General features: G+C 46.4%; 1 protein-coding gene across 13 annotated transcripts in view; it reads right to left on the reverse strand.

Moving 5' to 3' along the window:
• GALNT14 (polypeptide N-acetylgalactosaminyltransferase 14) overlaps window positions 1-20296 on the reverse strand; it is a 251659-nt gene that overhangs the window by 176309 nt on the left and 55054 nt on the right. For 5 of the 13 annotated variants that reach the window (XR_001738943.2, XR_001738941.2, XR_001738942.2 and 2 more), the window contains one exon: window positions 15844-15976. The exons of the other annotated variants lie outside the window; for them this stretch is intronic. Coding sequence is in view for 2 of the 5 variants with exons in the window: in NM_001329095.2 (NP_001316024.1) it covers window positions 15844-15867 (24 nt within the window). In the remaining 3 variants the exon portion in view is untranslated. Of the gene's footprint in view, window positions 1-15843; window positions 15977-20296 lie in introns of those variants that run through there. 13 annotated transcript variants of the gene reach the window in all.

Below are 20296 nucleotides of genomic sequence, written 5' to 3' on the forward strand. Positions count from 1 at the left end.
TTGTTGCAATTGCTTTTGGTGTTTTAGTCATGAAGTCTTTGCCCATGCCTATGTCCTGAATGGTATTGCCTAGATTTTCTTCTAGGGTTTTTATGGTTTTAGGTTTCATGTTTAAGTCTTTAATCCACCTTGAGTTAATTTTTGTATAAGGTGTAAGGAAGGGGTCCAGTTTCTGTTTTCTGCATATGGCTAACCAGTTTTCCCAGCACCATTTATCAAATAGGGAATCCTTTCCCCTTTGCTTGTTTTTGTCAGGTTTGTCAAACATCAGATGGTTGTGGATGTGTGGTGTTATTTACGTGGCCTCTATTCTGTTCCATTGGTCTATATATTTGTTTTGGTGCCGGTACCATGCTGATTTGGTTACTGTAATCTTGTAGTATAGTTTGAAGTCAGGTAGTGTGACGCCTCCAGCTTTGTACTTTTTGCTTAGGATTGATTTGGCTATATGGGCTCCTTTTTGGTTCCATATGAAATGTAAAGTAGTTTTTTCTAATTCTGTGAAGAAAATCAATAGTAGCTTGATGGGAATTGCATTGAATCTATTAATTACTTTGGGCAGTATGGCCACTTTCACGATATTGATTCTTCCTATCTATGAGCATGGAATGTTTTTCCGTTTGTTTGTTTCCTCTTATTTCCTTGAGCAGTGGTTTGTAGTTCTCCTTGAAGAGGTCCTTAATGTCCCTTGTAAGTTGTATTCCGAGGTATTCTATTCTCTTTGTAGCAATTCTGAATGGGAGTTCACTCATGATTTGGCTCTCTGCTTGTCTATTATTCGTGTAAGTTTCAATAAATTCTTGAAAATGAATTGCATTTCTCCCTGGTAGTACCTAGGTATATAATTTTGCCTGGATGGAAAAGATTTGAGAAGGCAGCCCTACAGAGGGGACTTCCAAATAAGGATTTGATTCTCATTTCATCCTGTTGGGCAGAGAGTTTGCTTTTGCAGATGGCAAAGAAGGAGAGACAGCAAGGCTCATGTTTGGCTCCAAGAGCATGCAGAGTAGACATCACATCTAGACTGGTGGCTATTGGCTCTCTCTCCCAGACAAGCTGCTGCAAATGCTTGATTTGAGTAGGGATAGAGACTGAAATTCAACTGGGTATAAATCTGCTATTGTGTTCCTACTGTGTGCAGGCACACAACTTAAATGTAAAAGAATGTCTCTGCCCACGCAGCTGTCACTGGCTCCCAGGAAAGTCCAGTCACAGACACAAAACTGAGGAGAATAATATAAGATGGTAAATTTTTAAAATATTAGATCTAGAAACTGCCTTCCAGTCAACTATCCCAGTGCTTTCCAGACCTCCCTCAGAGGCCTGGAGTCTGTGGTTGTGTTGTCCCAAACCCTGTCCCCGAAAACCAAAGGAACTCCACTTTTACCCAGTTCATATCTGGGGACTAAATTTAACTAAAGGGACTCCACTGGAGGAAACATTTGAAAATGAACATCTATTCTAATTCCCTTAGATTATTCCATTTATAGAATACCCAAGAGTGGATGTTCACAGGCCAAAATATACAACACAAATATATCGCTGATTTCGGCTGGGCTGGCAGAAGTGAGATCATCCTATTGGATCTCGCCAGACACAAGTGCACCTGAGATAGACAACAGTCATAGCTCACCATCCAAACACCACTACCTGACATTGCTTCTCGGAAATGGCTCTGCTCTCAATAAATCCAATAGGGGAAGGTGAAGGGGACTGGGGAAGAAGGAGTAAGTATATTTTAAAACTACATAGCCAGGTCTTCTCCTGGGAATAACTTTCCCATTGTCTGTATTGATCTCCAGAATAAACAAAGATGAGAAGGGAAAGAGTGGTAAAAAAAACTCTTCGCACGTTTAAAGTGATTTGTCTCCTCCCTCCTTGCTGGCAGATGAAGCGCTCACACTTTCAGGCTGGCTGAGCTTCTCCTTGGGTGATGAAAAGTGGGGGAGATGGAGGAGTGGCCAGAAGCAGGCCCCAAACTGGTCTCTTCTCTCCAGATCAGCCCAGAAGACCTCCCAGCTCTGTTCACCCACAGAATATACAGCCCAGATATCCATCTTGGTCCTTTATTGTCTACTCATTGGTTTTATTATTTTAAATATTATGTGGATGCTTGAGGTCTCCAGAGCCCTGAGGGCAAAGGTGATGTCTGATGTTTCACACTCTTGCCTCAAGCCTCCCGCTTCCTCACTCCTGCTCTACTGAGGGCTGAGATGATGGTGGAAAAAGCACTCCTGTGGGTCTGTCCCAGTCCCTCCACTGATGGAACAGTGATGTGAACTTGGACAAGTCAGTAGCGCTCTCAGAGATCCATTTTCTGCATCAGAAAAACGGGGAGAATACCTTTCAGGAAAGTGGTAAGAATTAAGGCAAATTAAATGCTACAGGTACAGCACGCAGCTTAGTGCCTGGCAAAGATGAGCAGACAAGATCATGAGCAGATGGCATCATGCTGGGGAGGGGAGTCAGGGCCAGCAAGAGGCCAGGAGGAGGGCCTTGGAATGGGCAGATGCTGCTGCTGCACACCTTCCTGCCTGGTCAACTTGATGATGGTCCGGCAGGGCCTCAGATTTGCAGACTGTATTGAAAAAGTTATGTGTGACTTGAAGCACTATGGAAGGCATCACATTCAAATCGTGCTGGGGAGCCTCTGACCTTGAGATAGACCATAACTAACCCTCCTACAAATCCCTCCTGCCGGGTGTCTGAGGAGAATGAAGAGCCCAGCAGAAGTCAAGAGGCAGACCTGGGTTTGAGTTCCAGCTCAGAATATATTCATGCCTTGTGACTTACCTAAGTATCCCCCAGAGACCATCCAAAAACTTAACCCATGGGAAGACAGTAGGGCACAGTAACAAGAGTACAGGCCTTCGAGTCAGGATTCCAATCCCCGCCCCACCCTCTTCCTACCTGTGTGACCTAGAGCAAGTGGCTCAACTTCTCTGATTCTTACCTTACCTCGCCTACAGGGCTGATATGTGAGAGAGATGAGATCATAGCTGTAGGTGCCCAGAGGAGGAGGCATACATGACAGGGCCCTTTTTCATGGCCCTGTTGCCCCTTTCCATCCCATGGAGGTTACATTCTGAGTGTGCTTGCTGTTCCATGCTTTGCATCGGCTCCTCAGCTGAGCTGGTTGTAGGCCCCCCCAGAGGCCAGGGCATTACCATTAAGGGAGACCGATGAAGAATTCCTAGCAGCCTCCCAGCTGTAGAGCACCCAGGTGCCTGTCAGAAGCCAGAGGAGTGAGGCTGGGCCTCGACAGGGCCATTACTCACCCACACCACCGGAGACTCCAGCAGCTGCGAAAGGGTGCGGGGGCGGGGGGCGGGGGGGTGGTGTCCAGCCATCTTTAAGGGTCTGGGTTTGCTCGTGAAAAAGAAACAAGGGGCTTATTTATGTCACTCAGGCCCAGTGAGCAGGGAGGGGCCGTGCAGGGAAGCCTTTAATGAGCACTCTTCCCTCAGAAATGCTGACAGGAGTTGGACACGAAGTACATCTCGGCCAAAACATCATCATCCCCAGGATCCCAGTGGAAAGATAAACCTGACTGCAAATATTGGTTTCTGTGAAGAGCCGGAGCACAGAGCAGGCAGCCCCCAGGGCTCAGCTGCAGGTGCACAGAGATGCCCGCCCAGGCCAACACTGCCACCACTGAGAGCACCCCCCACCCCCCACCAAGGCCAGCCTGCTCCCACGGTGCCACACAATGCCAGCCTCCTGAGCTGGGCTGCCCTCCAGAAACAGAAAGGAGAAATCTAGTCACATAGAAAGCTGCCCAGGCTGTGGAAAATGCAATTTCCAGACCCAGCCAAGCTGGGAAAGGGGCAGGCTGCTGCACACCCACCTACCTCACCCCGACATTGCCCAGGGGCCTGGACATCAGCCTTTCCCTACCCTCTGTAACACCAGTGACACAGTGGGACCAGGACAGCCTTCCTCAGCCAAAAGTCTCCTTTTCCTTCCCCCAGCAGTCTTGGCATCATCATCCCTCAGTGACCATAGTATCTGCCCTGCCATTACCTCCCGCCAGCCCAGGGTCCTCTCTCCCCATCACCCAGCCTCCCTGGCCTTGGTCCCCTTATTTGTCACATAGGCAAGGGCAGGGGGCCAAACAGGAGATTCCCATAGTCAGTCTCAGTGCTCTGTGCTGCAGAGAGGAATGGCAGCAGGAACCTCTGAACTTCCAGCCATGCAGTGAGCCCAGGAGCAAGGGGTCCATGTCCCCACGGGGGCCAAAGAGAAGATGAGTGCCCCTCGTTACCCTAGAGAAGCCCTGAGAGTCTGGGAATGCCGTGCTGAGTGCAGAGGCACAGGGGTCACCGAGAGACTCAGGCTGTCTTCACGACATCCCCGGACTTTGCAGACTTTGAGCATCCTCTTCTGAGCCGGTTTTGTGCCGGCAGAGGGTGCACTCACTCAGGAAAGCAGGGTCTGCTCAGGACATTAGGTCTGCTGTAAAATAGGGTCCCTGGCTCTGCCCATGGTAGCTCCATGACTGAGGTGGCTTTCCATGCCTCAGTTTACCCAGTTTCAAAGACAGGAGAGCCTACCCCTCTAGCAGAGGGAGGACTTAAGAGTTGGAGCCAACTTGCACAGCAAAAATAAACCTCTGTCACTTCCATACAGCGCTCTGCTTCTACCACTATCAGCTCACTTAATTTTCATTAAAATGTTATAAAATGGGCATGTCTCACCCCATTTTCCAGACAAGGATTAAGGCTCAGAAGGGCTCAGGGACTTAAGTCACTCAGTGGCTAAGGCGAGTCAGGTAGTCTGGGCATGCACACCGTTACTCCTCCTGTGACCTACAGTCTTGGGGAGGAGCAGGCAGGAAGGCTGGGGACTTGGGCCCCTCATTCTGGAACCTGCTCTTCCTTCGTGTGGGCCTTGACTCTCTTTCTCTGTACCTGAAACAAAGCTCAGGAGCCACCCCTTCCTCCTGCCTCAAGACAGACTCTTATCCTTTCCCCAAGCCCTGCCCAGAAAGGGATTCCAAGTCCACTCCCAAAACTGGAAACTCTGGTCAGAACCCTGGAGCCCAGACCAGCAGACCCCTATGTTCCAGTTGCTTCTGAGAGAAGGCAGCTGTAGACTTAAAAAGGTCCATAATTGGCTGGGTGCAATGGTTCACATCTGTAATCCCAGCACTTTGGGAGGCCAAGGCAGGTGGATCACTTGGGGCCAGGAGTTTGAGACCAGCGTGGCCAACATGGCGAAACCCCGTCTCTACTAAAAATACAAAAATTAGCCACGTGGGGTGGTACACGCCTGTAATCCCAGCTATTCAGGAGGCTGAGGCACCAGAATAGCTTGAACCCAGCAGGCGAAGGTTGCAGTGAGCCCAGATTGCGCCACTGCACTCCAGAGATCACGCCACTCTACTCCAGCTGGGTGACAAAGCAAGACCCCGTCTCAAAAAAAAAAAAAAAAAAGAAAAGAAAAGAAAGGTCCATAACTAATAGCAAATGCATTTTGAATAGTGCAGAGCTACTCCTGTTCTACCTCCCCCTGCAAAGAAGCCACACTAGAGACAGTTCTGGGATAACCTTTCTGAACAGAGCAGCTCACCACTGCCCCGTGCAGACAGGGCAACAATGGGGCCCCTAGGTGTTTAAGATGAGGCTGGAGGACTAATAATAAAGCAGAAACAAAACAAATGTCCCTCAGCTGATGAATGGGTAAACAAAGCCAGCATATCCATACAATGGAATAATATTTGCTAATAAAAAGGAAGAAAGTACTGGCACGTGCTACAGCACAGATGAACCTTGAGAACATCATGGTAAATGAAAGAGGCCAGCCGCAAGAGGCCACGTATTGTATGATTCTATTTATATGAAATGTCCAGAATAGGCAAATGTGTGGAGACAGAAAGCAGATTAGTGGATTAGTGGTCACCTGGAGCGGGGTGGGGCATGGGAATTGAATGCTAATGGTGCAGGGTTTCTTTTGGAGGTCAAAGATGTTCTAAAATTAGATTATGTGCTTGTTGTATAACCCTGAGAATACACTAAAACCATTGATCTTTACTTGTCATATGGGTAGACTGTATGGTATGTAGATTATATCTCAAAAAAGCTATTTTAAAAAATAAAAAGATGGGATCGCCACCTTTATCTTTCTTCTATAGAGAGGGACAGGGAGGAAGCTAAGATCTCAGGAACAGCATTAAACATTCTAGTTATTTACCACAAGGCCACTTAAGGAAGGTGACATTCTGTGTTTGTGAGAGTGTACTTGTGTACACACAGGTTAGACAGTCTGAATCTGCCCTCTAATCGCTGTATTTATCATTTATTGCATCCCTGTTACGTAGTAAGCACTTTGCTTGTATTTCCCCAGTTATTCTTCACAATAGCCCTAGGAAGGAAACACTGTTATAATCCCCATTTTACAAATGAAGAAATGGAGTCTCTGAGAGGTTGAATGAATGTGATACTTTACCCAGGGATGGGCAGACCCTGAGTGCCGGCACCCTGGGATTTAAACACATGCAGTCTGTCTCCAGCCTTCCCTTTTAACCCTGACCCCAGGAGCCTTCATTTATGGCAACTCAGGATCACAACCTCCCCGGAGCAGCAGGGCCTGAGCTTCCTGGAGGCTTGACACCCAAAAGTAAAAGCTGAACTCGCAATAGAAAGATGTCTTTTTCTTCCCAAGAGGCCTTGGGCAACAACGAGATGGATTTCCTTTTAAATGACTGTCCACTGTTGTGTGTGATAGCTCTTTGGTTTTATCTAATCCTGCTCAGTTCACGTTACTGCTGTCATTTGTCTCCTCCATCTCGATGGGGTGATGAACTGTCTTGCTCAGTGAGAAGCAGGCACTGAGACAGAAAGGAAAGAAATGCATCAAAGCTGGCCTGGACCGAGAGAAGAGGAGGAGGATGGCTTAATCAACCGGGGGCAAAGTCACAATCCTTCCTGTGTCCGCTTACCCCCACCCTCCGAGTCCCATGGAGCATCCTCCAAGTACCTCTGGGAGAAAAGAGAAGAAGCCAGAAGCCACCACTGGAGTGATGTCCCAGGAAGCTCACTACCTCATGGCAGGGCATACAGTGGGATCCCTCGACCAAGGACTTCTTCCCAGGTTGACCACGGGCTATTCCACCATCTACTCATTCACAAAGTGCCTTCCTAAGTTCAGTCAGGACCTGGCACTCACCCAGCTTCCAGAAAGGAGCCCATAAACATAAGAGATCAGTTTTGGTGTTAGAAAGGGGACCACGTAGGTCCCATTGTTCCTCTGGAAGAAACCTAGACATGGCCACACCATCTGGGTCTTGCCTAGGCTGTCCTGTCCTCAGGAACAGAGATGCTGAGAGACCTCTGGGTGTGTCCCTCACCTGAACACCACCTCCTTCTGAAACCTGCCCATTTTACACTGAACTCAAACAAGCTTGCACTTAGGCTCCCCAAACCCTGTGACTCATCCATTTTCTCCCAGCCTGAAAAATGCTCGGCAGCAATTTATCGGCGTGCCCAAGGGGAGGCAGCTGACAGCCAGGAGCCAGCACAGCCGAAACAAACAAGGGCAATGCTGTGAACTGCACTTCCAATTTTAATGCAAAATCTTGCCTCCTAAAGTCTGAATTTTTCTTCAGGTTCATCCAAATTCCAGCGTGTAGCCACATGCCCAAATCATTGCATTGGTGGGATGATCCAAAATCCTTTGTCCAATTGCAAACTGGAAAATTTGGAAGTTTGAGTAATTTGACGTTTAAAGGATGCAGAGAGGCTGGCCCTACCCAGGGACAGGCACTGTGCTTGCAGGAGCAATAAGCACTGTCTGGTCTCTGTTAGCAAACAGGGACCAGGGCCTCCTCAGGCTTGGAAAAAATGAAAGTAGAACCAGGGTCATGGGATTGTAGATTACACGGGATCATTCTAAGTGAAGTAACTCAGAAATGGAAAACCAAATATCATATGTTCTCACTCATAAGTGGGAGCTAAGCTGTGAGGATACAAAGGCAGAAAAATGACAGAATGGACTTTGGGGACTCGGGGAAAGGCTGGGAAGAGGGTAAGGGATAAAAGACTACAAACTGGGTTCAGTGTGTACTGCTTGGGTGATGGGTTCACCAACATCTCACAAATCACCACTAAAGAACTTACTCATGGAACCAGATACCACCAGTTCCCCCAAAACCTGTGGAAATAAAAATTTTTTTTAAAAGAGAAAGTAGAACCAGGGTCAACCAAACATGTGCCTAGTAAGAGTCTGAGTTCCTCCTGGACTTGACCTTTTCCAGCTCTTTTTTGAACAAAGTCCGGAGGACATCAGAGCATCCAGAGGATAATGGAGAGCCAGTGACTTTGAGGAGAGCAATTAGGAGCTGAAATCAAGGGTGGATGGAAAAACCTCATTCAGAAACTGGTGTCAAGTAACATGAGCTCCAACTGTCCCAGCCCCTTTCCCTGCCCACCTAGACAGACAGGCAGGGCTCCACACAGCCAGACCCAAAGTGGTGGAGGCACTGTGAGTTCTGTCACTGTGTGTCCCGGGCCTACCTCTCCTGCCCTGCCTGATGACCTGGCTCACCTGGTCCCAGGAATCTGCCCCCCGGTTTCTAAGGTGCTCTGCAGCTCTTCCTTCTCGTCTGAGCCTCCCTTCCTCTGGCCCCTGCCTGCCTCTGGATTCTGACAGCTCTCTGTTCCTTCAGACCCAACAGTGGGTTTCTGGGCTCTGGGGCAGGACGGACTGCAGAGTTTATAAGGCTAAGTGCAAAATGAAAATGCAGGATTCTTGCTCAGAAGTCATTAAGAATTTCAAGACAGCAACAACAGAGCATGAAACCAAGAGCAGGCCCCCATGCAACTGCGCAGCCACACACCCAGAAAGCGGCCTGGAGATGCTGACTTAGCAACCACCAGTGGAGACGGTGCCCAGGAGACAGTGAGGCTGCAGGGTGGGGGCCACCCACGTGTGGGAGAAAAGAGAAGAGGGCATGGGGAGGAGTCAGAAAGGGAGATGTGCTAGAGACACGTGGAAGAACATGGAGAACCCAGAGCAAAAAGGAGCATTTCAAGATGGAAGGGTGGAAGGCACCATCTTCCCTCTGCTGTGGGGTGCAGAGGTGGAGGGCGAGGGCAGAAGGAGCTTGGTTGTCTTCCTGGCATCCAGTCAACTTCCTCCACTGTGTGTATGTCTCCTCTCTTTTCTCTCTCTCTCACACACACACACACACATACACACACACACACACACACATACACACACACACACACACGCATGCGGACGTGCAGAGATACACAGGTCAAAATTTTTGTCTCTCTTGCTCTCTTTTTTTTTCTTTTGTTCCCTCATTGCTTTCTTCCTCTCTTTCATTTTCACCTTCGCCTGACCTCTCCTCTCTTTCATCCTCTTTCTGCCCTATATCTTTCCTTCTCTCATTTCCTTTCTGTTTCACAGCCCCTTACTGTGGTTTGCTTGGAAAATTCTGCCTTCCTTTGCCTCTTCCTTACTAGACTTACTGCCTTACAACCTGGAACTCCTGCAGGTGAAGGAGACCTAGAGGACAACTAAGTCCAATTCCAAATGTGACACAGGCATCTCTCCTATAGGATCCCTCATCTCAGTGGACAGGGACAAAGTGACTTCCCTCGAAGCCTTCTAGACAGGAGGTAAGAGATGAGAACTATGCAGACTAGGGCACCAAGCAGAGATGTGCCAGACAGGGTGGCTCAGTCCGTAAGACTGCCACCCCAGTGCTCCTTCCATGACATGTGACTTCTCTGCCTTGCTCTGGGCTTGCTGATTGTCTACTTGTGCCTTCTTTGAGCCCTGCATTTTTTACACATAATGATAAATTGGTTTTTGCTCTTAAACAGTTGAGTGTTAGATGCACAGAAGATGTCAACAGGCAAAGAATCAAAGTTCAGGGGAAATACTAGGAACTTTAGGGCACAGGCAATCTTTACAGGGAGAACTCCTCCCTGCACTGCTTGAGTGATGGCAGCAAGTGGTCACCTGGGATAGTACGTAAGGGCTTCCAATCTGGACTCAAACACCCCCAGCTCCAACGCTAACCAGCTGCGTGATCTTGAGCGAGATATGTAGGATCAGTGCTCCAGGGTCCTCGTCTGCAAAATGGGAATATGAAAAGGGACTCACTCTGTGGGATTTTTGTGAGGTTTAGATAATAGAAATAACTTTGCCCTATGCCTGGCATATGATATGCACTCAAAACATGTTAGTTATAGACATGAGACTTAAATATAAATATTTGTTGCATGTTGACTATATGCAGATATTGTTCTAGACATGGGAAATAGAATAGTCAAAAAAACAAAGATTTTGCCCTTGTGGACCTTGCATTCTAGTGGAAGAGATGGACATATCAGTCGATAAATAATCTCTACTATGACAAAAATTAAATTTGGGGAATAAAGAGGGGGGGGGAACAGCATTTGGGGAACGATGCAAGAGAAGCCTCCTCTAAATAGGGTAATCATGCAGCTTCCTGGAGGGAAAACAACTGCAAAGGCCTGAGACATGCTGTGGGTTTAAGGACCAGCTAGGGGCCGGCGGGACTGGGGCAGGAAAGTGAAAGAAAGAAGAAAAGAGATGAGGTCAGGGTGGCAGGGAAGGAGATGTCAGCTCATATATGGCTTTGGAGTCCTTGATGAGGACTATACATTTTATTGTAAGTGTGGCAAACAGCCACTGGAGGGTTGTGACTTGGAGTTTGACTTGGATTCACATTTTAAAATATCATTAGCCTCTGTGGGCAAAAGACTAAAAGGACACCGTTACAGACCGCTGGATGGTCCAAGTGAGAGAAGATGGTGGCAGCTGTGCTAAGGGGAGGAACAGAACGCTCTCCTTCCATTGCCACACAGGGCCTCTGCCTTAGACCAGGCTGGCTACCTGTCTACCTGTATATTTATTTGGGCCCTGAGTTCTCTGTGCATAGTAATAATTAAATGGGGTTTTACACTGCCAACAGCTGCCTGTGAGTTGAGGAGTTAGAAGAGGTAAATGTGGATGAGAAATGGCCCCATGGTGCAGAGGAAGTAGGAAATAGAGGACTACAGCTCACTGCCCAGGAGAAGACACAGACTGAAGGGAGACGGTGCCAGGGAGACGGTGCCAAGCACACAGCACCAAGCAAAGCACACGGCCTGCAGAGTCAGCCCTGATGGGTCCCACTCTGAGCTGCCTGACCTTGGAGAAGTCACTTGACATCCCAAGCTTTGGCTTCCTCATCTGTGAAATGGAGCTAACAAAGGGCAGCTGCTGTGAGTGCCAGTGACAGTCCATATGCAGCGCTAGGCACACAGGGGTTCAACAGCCCCCGTGCATCTTTGGGGGATTTTTTTTTTTGCTTAAAACCACCACTGTTTTTTATTTCTCACATCTCTGGGTAAGCTTGGGATTCTGCTGACCTGGGCTGGGCGGGTTGATCTGGGCTGGGCTCACTCATGCTGTCTGTGGGCAGCTTACAGGTCTGCCTGGGGCTAACTGGTTCAGGATGGTCTCAGCTGGGAAGTCTAGGCCCTGCTACACACAATCTTTCATCCTGCAGTAGTGGCTACTATACTTGTTCTTAGGCAGTGGTAGAGTTCTAAGAGGGAGACATAGAGAAAAAAGAGAGAGAGGGAGAGAGAGAACACTCATGCGAGCCCTCTTGGAACCCAGACTCAGAATTGTCATATTATCACTTCTACAATATTCTATTGGCCAAAGCAAATCACAGTCAGCCCAGACTTAAGAGGTAGAGACACTGACTCTCTTGACTCAGACTGTAAAGGCCATGGATACTGAGAAGAATAGGAAAACTGGGGCCATGCTGTCCTCAACCCATGGCAACAGGATCTAGGATGTGACTGTGGTTTTGCCCATGGATCTTAATATGGTTGGGATATTTGTCCCCTCCAAATCTCATGTTGAAATGTAATCCCCAGTGTTGGAGGTGGGGCCTGGTGGGAGGTGTTCAGGTCCTGGGAGCGGATCCCTCACGAATGACTTGGTGCTGTCCTTGTGATGAGAGTGAGCTCTCGCTCTGAGTTCACACAAGATCTGGTTGTTTAAAAGAGTGTGGCACACCCTCTGTTCTCTTTGCTCCTGCTCTGTGAACAGAGCACGTGAGATGCCTGCTTCCCCTTTGCCTTCTGCCATGATTGGAAGTTTCCTGAGGTCCTCGCCTGAAGTAGATGCCAGCACCACATTTCCTGTATACCCTGCAGAACCTTGAGCCAATTAAACCTCTTTCCTTTATAAAGTGCCCAGTCTCAGGTATTCCTTTAGAGAAAAGCAAAAGCAAACTAGCACACATCTTTCATATGCAAATGTGTCTCCTGCATCTTTGAGCCTCCACCCACCTAGAAGCTGCTCCTAAAAGGTTTGTTGATTGATCTGGAAGCAATCAGAAACAATCTCTGCGTCCTGGAGATCGGCTTGAAAAGTGTTTCTTGAATGATGCAGAATGTGTGTCACAGCTGGACATGGCAGCATTTCTGAGAAATAGAGAGGCACAGCAGGAAGAGGCTCAGCTGGCCTACGCCCAGCTCTGAGAGTGACAGCGTGTTTACAAGAGCTATTAGGGACCACTGCTCCTCCGTGCTCACGGGATGATTTACTCCACCAGGACTGCCAGGCTGCTGCTTTTCCTTTCACTGCTGAATTGATGATTGAATCACACATATTCCATCTCAATAACATGATTTCACTTTGAGGCAGGCAGGAAGTTCAAAGCCCACTGTAAGAAGACCCTTCCCCCATGCTGGGCTTTGCGACTCTGGGAAGTTCTACAGACACATTCGTGAGTTAGGGAAAGAAATCTCTCTAAAGCACACTACAAACAACTCCGACAGTCCCAAGTCCCACAAGAGCAGAGGCTGCATCTGGTTGTTTGGCAGAGAATTCCCTGAGCACAGTGCCTGACACCTACTTCAATGAACACTTCTAGACTGAATGAATCAACCTATCCGTCTACCTGGTCAGAAGCTGTCTTAACTCGAGCAGACACAGATGACCAGCAGTCTTGGAAACCACTGTGTATAGATAACAGCTGGAAGAACTGGAGAAAAGAGTTGAGTAGGAAGGAGGCCAGGACATGATGCTGCCCACAAATATTTAGTGAGTTGTCCTACTCAAGTCTCCTCCCATTTATTGAGTACCCACCATGCACCACACAATACAATCCTTCTAACAAGTCTTCAAGGTCTATTCTATGACTCATATTCTCTGTACGAAGAAACTAAGGCTCAGAGAAGTTCAGTGACTGGCCCAAGAGGACGTAGCTCCTAAGTGCCAGGCAAGGATGCCACCCAATGTCTCATCCACAGCTCCACACTTCAGAACCAACTCTGCTCCTGTCTCCACCCCCGCTCTGAGACCACCATCCTCTGGAGATCCCTTTTCTGTGAGAAGCCTGTATCAATCAGCAAACAGTGGCAAGGAACAGGTCCTACAGAAATGGCCACTGGAGGATGAGGTCACCAACATTTCCATGGGGTAAGTCCTATTTAATTCCTATTGCAAACGCAAAAGGAGCACTAGATAGGGGTGTGTATACATATATATATATATATATTTTTTTTTTTTTTACATGTACATATACATTTAGTGGCCTCAAGAAACTCAATCCATTTGAAAAAATTGGAAACTATGAATAATGCAATAATACTGTCTTACTGATTTAGACAGTAAATATCAAAGGTAGGGAATGATATGATTTGTCACCCAAACTGGAACACTTTTAAGAATAAAGAAAGGCACTGCTCTTGGACAACAGGTGTAAACTCATACTAGCCAAGATGAACCAGGACTTAAGATCACCATAGCTAGATGATCATAAGCCCCAAAGTTAGGGACGCTCAGCTTTCCAGTGCCTTGTACAAGTGCTGAATTTTGCACAATGCCACTCCATCCCTCATGACAACAGCACTGATTGTAGATGTGGTAGAGAAAGTAATGATTACTGTTGCTATTTATATTAGTATAGTAACAATCCTTATAATAATTGCAGCTTCTGTTTATTGGATTCTGCAGAAAATGTGCTACGCTATTACAAACATCACCCCATTTGTTTCTCACAGTGCTAAGCAGTGGGCATTTTTAGACCCACTTTACAGATAAGTAAAACAGGTACAAAGAGGTTAGGATAAACGACAAGCCCAAGGTCACAGAAGTGAGTATTCCAATGAAGGAGAGTCCTATTTTAAAGGATCTTGTCTTAATTACAAGCTACAAATCTTCCCATTATTTCTTTTTACCTACATTCCTCAAGGAACTTATGAAATCTAATATACACACCCATCTTTTACCATTCACAACTCAACTCCTACCATCTCCAGCAGTTTCTTTCTCTCCATTTTAACATCTGTCTCCCTCTTTAAATTCTGTCCTTTTCCCTTCAATTACCCCAGGAAATATTTTATCCTCTCTCTAAATATTTCTTTCCCCATCTTCACTGCTGCTACAAACCTCCAAAGATACTAGTCTCATCTGATAAGTCTATGAGCCCCTTTATCAGGGCAAATGAAAGCTTAGGTTGCAAAATGAAATTTTAAATGATAAACAGTTTTATCATTCAATAATGACATTGAAAGTACCCAGAAGTCCCCTTTCGGAATCCCCAGAAATCTTCATTTACCTCCTTATCTGTCTCTAATTAAACCAACTTTTCCCTGAGCACCAGGAAAATACACATATTTCTCACTCAATTCTATCACCTTTGGGCGTCATTCCTTAATTAGCAAGGTAGCCACATCACTTCCCAGTTTCCATTGCGTGTGCATAGCTTTTCAGTCACAGTCTAGGTTAAAAGGCTATTATGGGTTGGCTGAGGCACCTGATCAAGATTTATCATGTTGTGTCCACAGAGGAATGTATAGTAGGTTACAAAATAGAGTTGTGGAGCCTAACTTAATGACAGAGTGAGACCAGGCCAGGCCAAGAGGCTAGAGCAAGTCGGAAGAAAACAGCTTAAGTCAGAAGCTGAGGACATTGCTATGTGCCAGAGGTGAAAATGCAGGACAAAATGGAAAGAGGCAAAGGTGATCTTGAGAAGAGACTGGCTCCAGTGGAGACAGTGCAGGTTCTGAAAGGAGCAGGCTGGAAAATAGCCCGGGACCAATTATGTTCATTAGTCAATAGGGACAACAGCTGAAAAGTATCAGGCATAAGCTATGGCAGGGAAAATTCAGGCTCATTAGGAGGAGAAAACTTGAATGGTAATGATCCTACTGGACAACTTTCAAGTTTTAGCAAGGCTGTGAAAATGTTAATGAGGTTGGACAACATTAGACGATCATAAGTTCACCTGGTCAGGCCCCCGACCCCCTCTTAATGGGCCTTCCCCTTATTAAAGGAACACAGATTGATAAGAAAACCCTATTATTGTTTTAAAGGCTACCAGAAAATTGTCCTCAGAGTTAAAGCCAACTAAGTGGCTTATAGAATAAAGGATCTAAGTCTGAATTTTTCATCAAAGCAATCCTAGGTAGATTTGGCCTTCTAAAGGTTTCTCTTCCCACTCCTTGGAGCCAGATCAAATCAATCCCATTCACCTTGTGCTGTGCCTGGCTGATGTGAGCTGTCTTGAGGCTAGCCCTACAGAAGTACCAGAATCAGGGAGCTCTCAGGCCCCGGGGCCACACCGCATGCTCAGGACAGGGCAAGGCAAACATTCAGAAGCTAGATTGCATGGTGAGACTGCAGGCTGAAAAGCAGGCAAGCAGGCAGCATCCGAGAACAGCACAGGCACACAAGATGAAGGCAAGGGGCGAGATATAGGCCTGGGAGAACCCAGGCACAGGAGAGCAGGGGAAAGTAGGGCAAAGCAGGGTTTGGGGACCAGGAGAGCAAAGGACTACAAATTCAGTTCTGACTCACTGGACACGACTCATCTTGGGCCATGGCTGTTCCATGCCTGGGAGGGAGAGCAGGGGAGCTACAGTGGGCTGCTGAAATTGCATTCAGAACGAAATGGGTAGGCTCAGGTGTCAGCTGCAAACTGTTTTCAATTCTAGAAAACATAAATACATGAAAATGCATATGATGATATTTGGCATAGGTGACCACACCTTTGGGACACCAGCTTGTTTGAACCCAGTGCTATTGCCCAGGCTCCACATCAGTGTGGAAGTTGGCTGGACAAGAAGGATTCTCCTCCTATTAGGAAGCCATGCTTCTAGGGATGATGGCTTCTGGGTGAGGCTTCCATTCACTCGCTGTATGGCAGATGCACCTGACAGCGTCAGGACGTACCCTGAGAATGACCCTGTTTGGAAGATGCACCTGAATGTGTGTTCAGAGTTCTGAGCTAAGAAATCTGGGGGTGGCCAACCCGGAGATTCACTCCTTACCTCTGAGGAAGAGCTGAGCCCTCGGACTGTCCTGAGAAACTCAGGCTGTACGGGAGATCAAGGCCCTGTGTTTGGGGTTAAATGAAGGCTGCCAGGTGGAGGTTGTTAAGGGAAGGGTGCTAAGTCAAAACGGTAGTTGAACAGCATGCTTTTTGCAAGTGGTTATGATTCTCCTGCCCAGCCTGCTGCCACCAGACCTCCCTGTAAGTTGCCCTCCTGCTAATAAAACCCTACGTCTCATGTGTTGGCTCTGGGTCTCCTCTTCAGCCTCTTGAACATGGTGTCATCCCTGTTGAGGTTAAAAGGGGTCTGGCACAACACAAAGTGGTGGTATCAGATAAGAGCACCCCACGGGCTTCCTTAGTCATGTACGGTCCTACAACCCAACACGGGTCCCCCATTCTGGGCAGAGTGTGGCTCACGTAGCTCAGCCCCTACTGTGGCTACTCCCTCTGGTGGTCACTTCCCAGGCACCGGACCCTCCTGCTGCTCCCAGGGAAGGCAAGGGCTGGACACTCAGGGAACTGCTCTGGCTTCCAGCAGTCCTGCATTTAGCCAGTCCCCTGCAACCTGGTGCCCAAATAGTTTGGCTTAGGCAGGCATGAGCCCTGCAAACATGAGGATGCCCACTCAAAGGGATGCAGTGATACACATCAATGAAAACAGTGCATGGGGCAAAATCAGAGCTTTGACCAAAAAGAGTTTAAATGAAACAGGACAAAGAAAAGCAGAATATGCAGTGAAAACAGTAACTCAAGTGGGTCTGGCCACCTGAAAATTGGACTGATACTCAGCACCTTAGGTCAGCAAGAAAAACCAAACCAAACACATTACCCTGAATAATGGGGAGAATAAGGTTATCAGATAAAATACAGGACACTGATTAAATTTCCATTTTAGATATGTAATGAATAATTTTTTAGTGTGTCCCAAATATCACAAGTCATACTAAAATTATTTGTTGTTTTGTTGAAATTCCAGTTCAACTGGGTGTACTCTATTTTTATTTGTTAAATCTAACATCCCTGCTAGAACTAAGTGGTGTCCATTCCATTCTTAGACTCTAAGTGCAGCCCTGTACAAGTCCAACAAAGGTCAGCTGTAAATGAGTAATAGTTAGATGTTTGTATATGGAGAACAGTTTTCTTTAAAAACAAATCACTACTTTGCAGAGAGGAAGATGAAGAGAAGAAATCTAAATTCAGGATGACTTATTAAAGAAAACCCCCTGTTCTGGGAGTCTCAGATGACGTGGTTTCTCATCCCAGGCTTTGTGACCTGTGCAAGTCACTTCATTTTTACATGAAAGGGTTAGTTTGAGGATGGAACTTGGAAATCACTGGGTTCTATTAAACCCTAATGTCATGATTCTATTCAATTAGAACTATGTGAATAGGGGAAATGCACTTACGTTCTAGATCCTAGGAATACAAAACTGGAAGACACTTGTTTCAGCTTGAAAGATGCAGATACTAAATTTTCTGGCAGATACAGAATATATGTGGCCACGTTCTAAGAAATGATGTCATAGGGCTGAGCCAGAAACATGCTCAGAAAGGATGGAGGTAAAATCATAAACTCAAGATTTTTATTTGGCCTCAAGATGTAAGGGGTTCCTCCCAAACATTCTGAGGCTGATAAGATGGAAGAGAAGCATGCCCCTCCCTAACACATCCTTATCTAAGACAATATCTCATTTCAAATGCATTGTTGCTGTGAGAATACTTTCCGAAAATAAAACCCAGTGGATCCCAGTGAAGAGAATCTGTTTCAGAAATGGTAAAGCTCAGTTAATCATGAAAGATAAGGATAAGGCCTCGTGAAGGTCATACCAATAGCCGGCAGAAGTCAAGTATATGGATTCATGGCAATAATGAAGATAAATATCAAGTTTGTCATTACAGCTATTTCTTCTCTACACATAGCAAGAATGTTTTCCAAAGGAGACTGATTCAGTCTAAACTTGGAAATCATTTCGGAACTACAAAAGTTGAAAAGCTTACCTTTCTTTTCTAACATAAAAATAAGCAGGAAGGAAAGGGTAAAGACTGAGTTAACTCCAAAATATAATATTACAAGTGTTTTGGGTTGGACCTGTCTCAAACAGTTCAATTTATCTCAGCAAAAACACATTTTTACACTTACAGCAAAAAATAGTTAAACATTCCAAAGTGCACATGTTTATTTTGTTGGGAAAATTATACACATTTGTTTGATTAGCTTTGGTAAATAAAATAACCTAGTCACCACTCAAGACTCAGACGTGGCTGCAAAATTGATTCAATGAAATGTCAAAATAAATCATAGCTTAAAAATGCATGGTATGTAACTTCTAAAAATGAAAACCACATCTATCTCTGTCAGAGTTGTGAAGACTGTGCATTAAAATTATATCAAAAATGAATGCAGTTTTGAAGGAAAACTATTGATTTAATCGACTCTTCCTGACTAGTGATTCAAATCATGATTTGAATCAATTTGATTTTAATCGAGCCCACCCTATCCAAAAGTCATTTATACATGCCTTTGGAGTGCAAGATGTTATTTTCAGCAGTCTATTTATCTTCCTAGTTATAGGACACTCAGACTGATATAAAAAGAGTTGTGTTGCCTATGTCACATCAACAGGGCAGGGAGCAGAGGCTCCTACAAACTTACCTAGTTGCAAATAATCCCAGTAAGGCCAACCACGCACCAACTATAAGTAATAAGGGACTGACCAACAGTCTCAAGGATGCCAGGACCTGAAATCGGGCAGAGTCCTGGGACAGTCAGTGGACTGCAGACAGTCCTAGCAACAGGGAAGAGGAATGCTTCCTGACCTACAGATAACACACAACAAGCAGGGCACTTGGCCTCAGGCAGGGGCCAAGGCAGCCTCAGGATCCAGAAAGCAGACAGAAAGGCCAAGTCTCCACAAACAGTTCAAGTGCAACTCTTGTCTCTTGCAGAATTCTGAGATGTGGAGGTCAGGAACAAGGCTGGCCTCAATCACCAGGGCTGTAATAGTCAGCAGGTCTCAGTCACAGATGGAGCTGAAAGCCAGAGATCAGGACAAGGCAGATGCTTGGAGAAAGCCAGTTTCTAGAACCAAAGGACTAGGAGGCTGACCTGAAGCTGAAAACATGAATTAGGTATTCAAGGCAATTATGCAAGGGTTGATCAGGTGAACTAACTATAACCTCTGCCTCTGCTGCCTGAAGGGTATTATCTACCTCGTAAAAAATTGTAAGTGTGTGGCATAAGTCTTGGCATATGGAAAGTGCTCAATGTTAGTTACTGATGATAATGATGATGATAAAAAGGAAGAAATAATGATAAAAAAGAAATTGGCTGGGCACGGTGGCTCACACCTATAATCCCAGCACTTTGGGAGGCCGAGGTGGGTGGATCATGAGGTCAAAAGACCGAGACCATCCTGGCCAACATGGTGAAACCCTGTCTCTACTAAATATACAAAAATTAGCTGGGCGTGATGGCACACGCCTGTAGTTCCAGCTAGTAGGGAGGCTGAGGCAGAAGAATCACTTGAACTTGGGAGGCGGAGGTTGCAGTGAGCTGAGATTGCACCACTGCACTCCAGCCTGGTGACAGAGTATGACTCCATCTCAAAAAAAAGAAAAAGAAAAAAACAAAGAAATCTACTACTATTAATAATAATAATAATGTAGCCTGCTAGGGTATTCAGTGGTCCAGTTTGCCCAGGATTGGAGGGCTTCCCAGGATATGGGGCATCCAGTGCTATCACTAGAAAGAGCCAGGCAAACTGGAATGGTTGACAAGTCTGTCCCTGCCATGTGCCCAGCCTGACTGACATGGCATGGGTTGGGTCAGAACCTGCAGATGGCCTTAAGTGCCTTTAGCTGTGGGGATCAGAGGGGGGTGGAAGCAGGGAGCCAAGCACCACACGTTCTTGGATATAGAACTGAGTTTTTGTTGTATGAGGATCATGGTCTGGCTTTTCCCTTCAAGGCACTTGG

The sequence above is a fragment of the Homo sapiens genome, chromosome 2, assembly GCF_000001405.40.
Source record: "Homo sapiens chromosome 2, GRCh38.p14 Primary Assembly".
NCBI classification, from domain to species: Eukaryota; Metazoa; Chordata; class Mammalia; order Primates; family Hominidae; genus Homo; species Homo sapiens.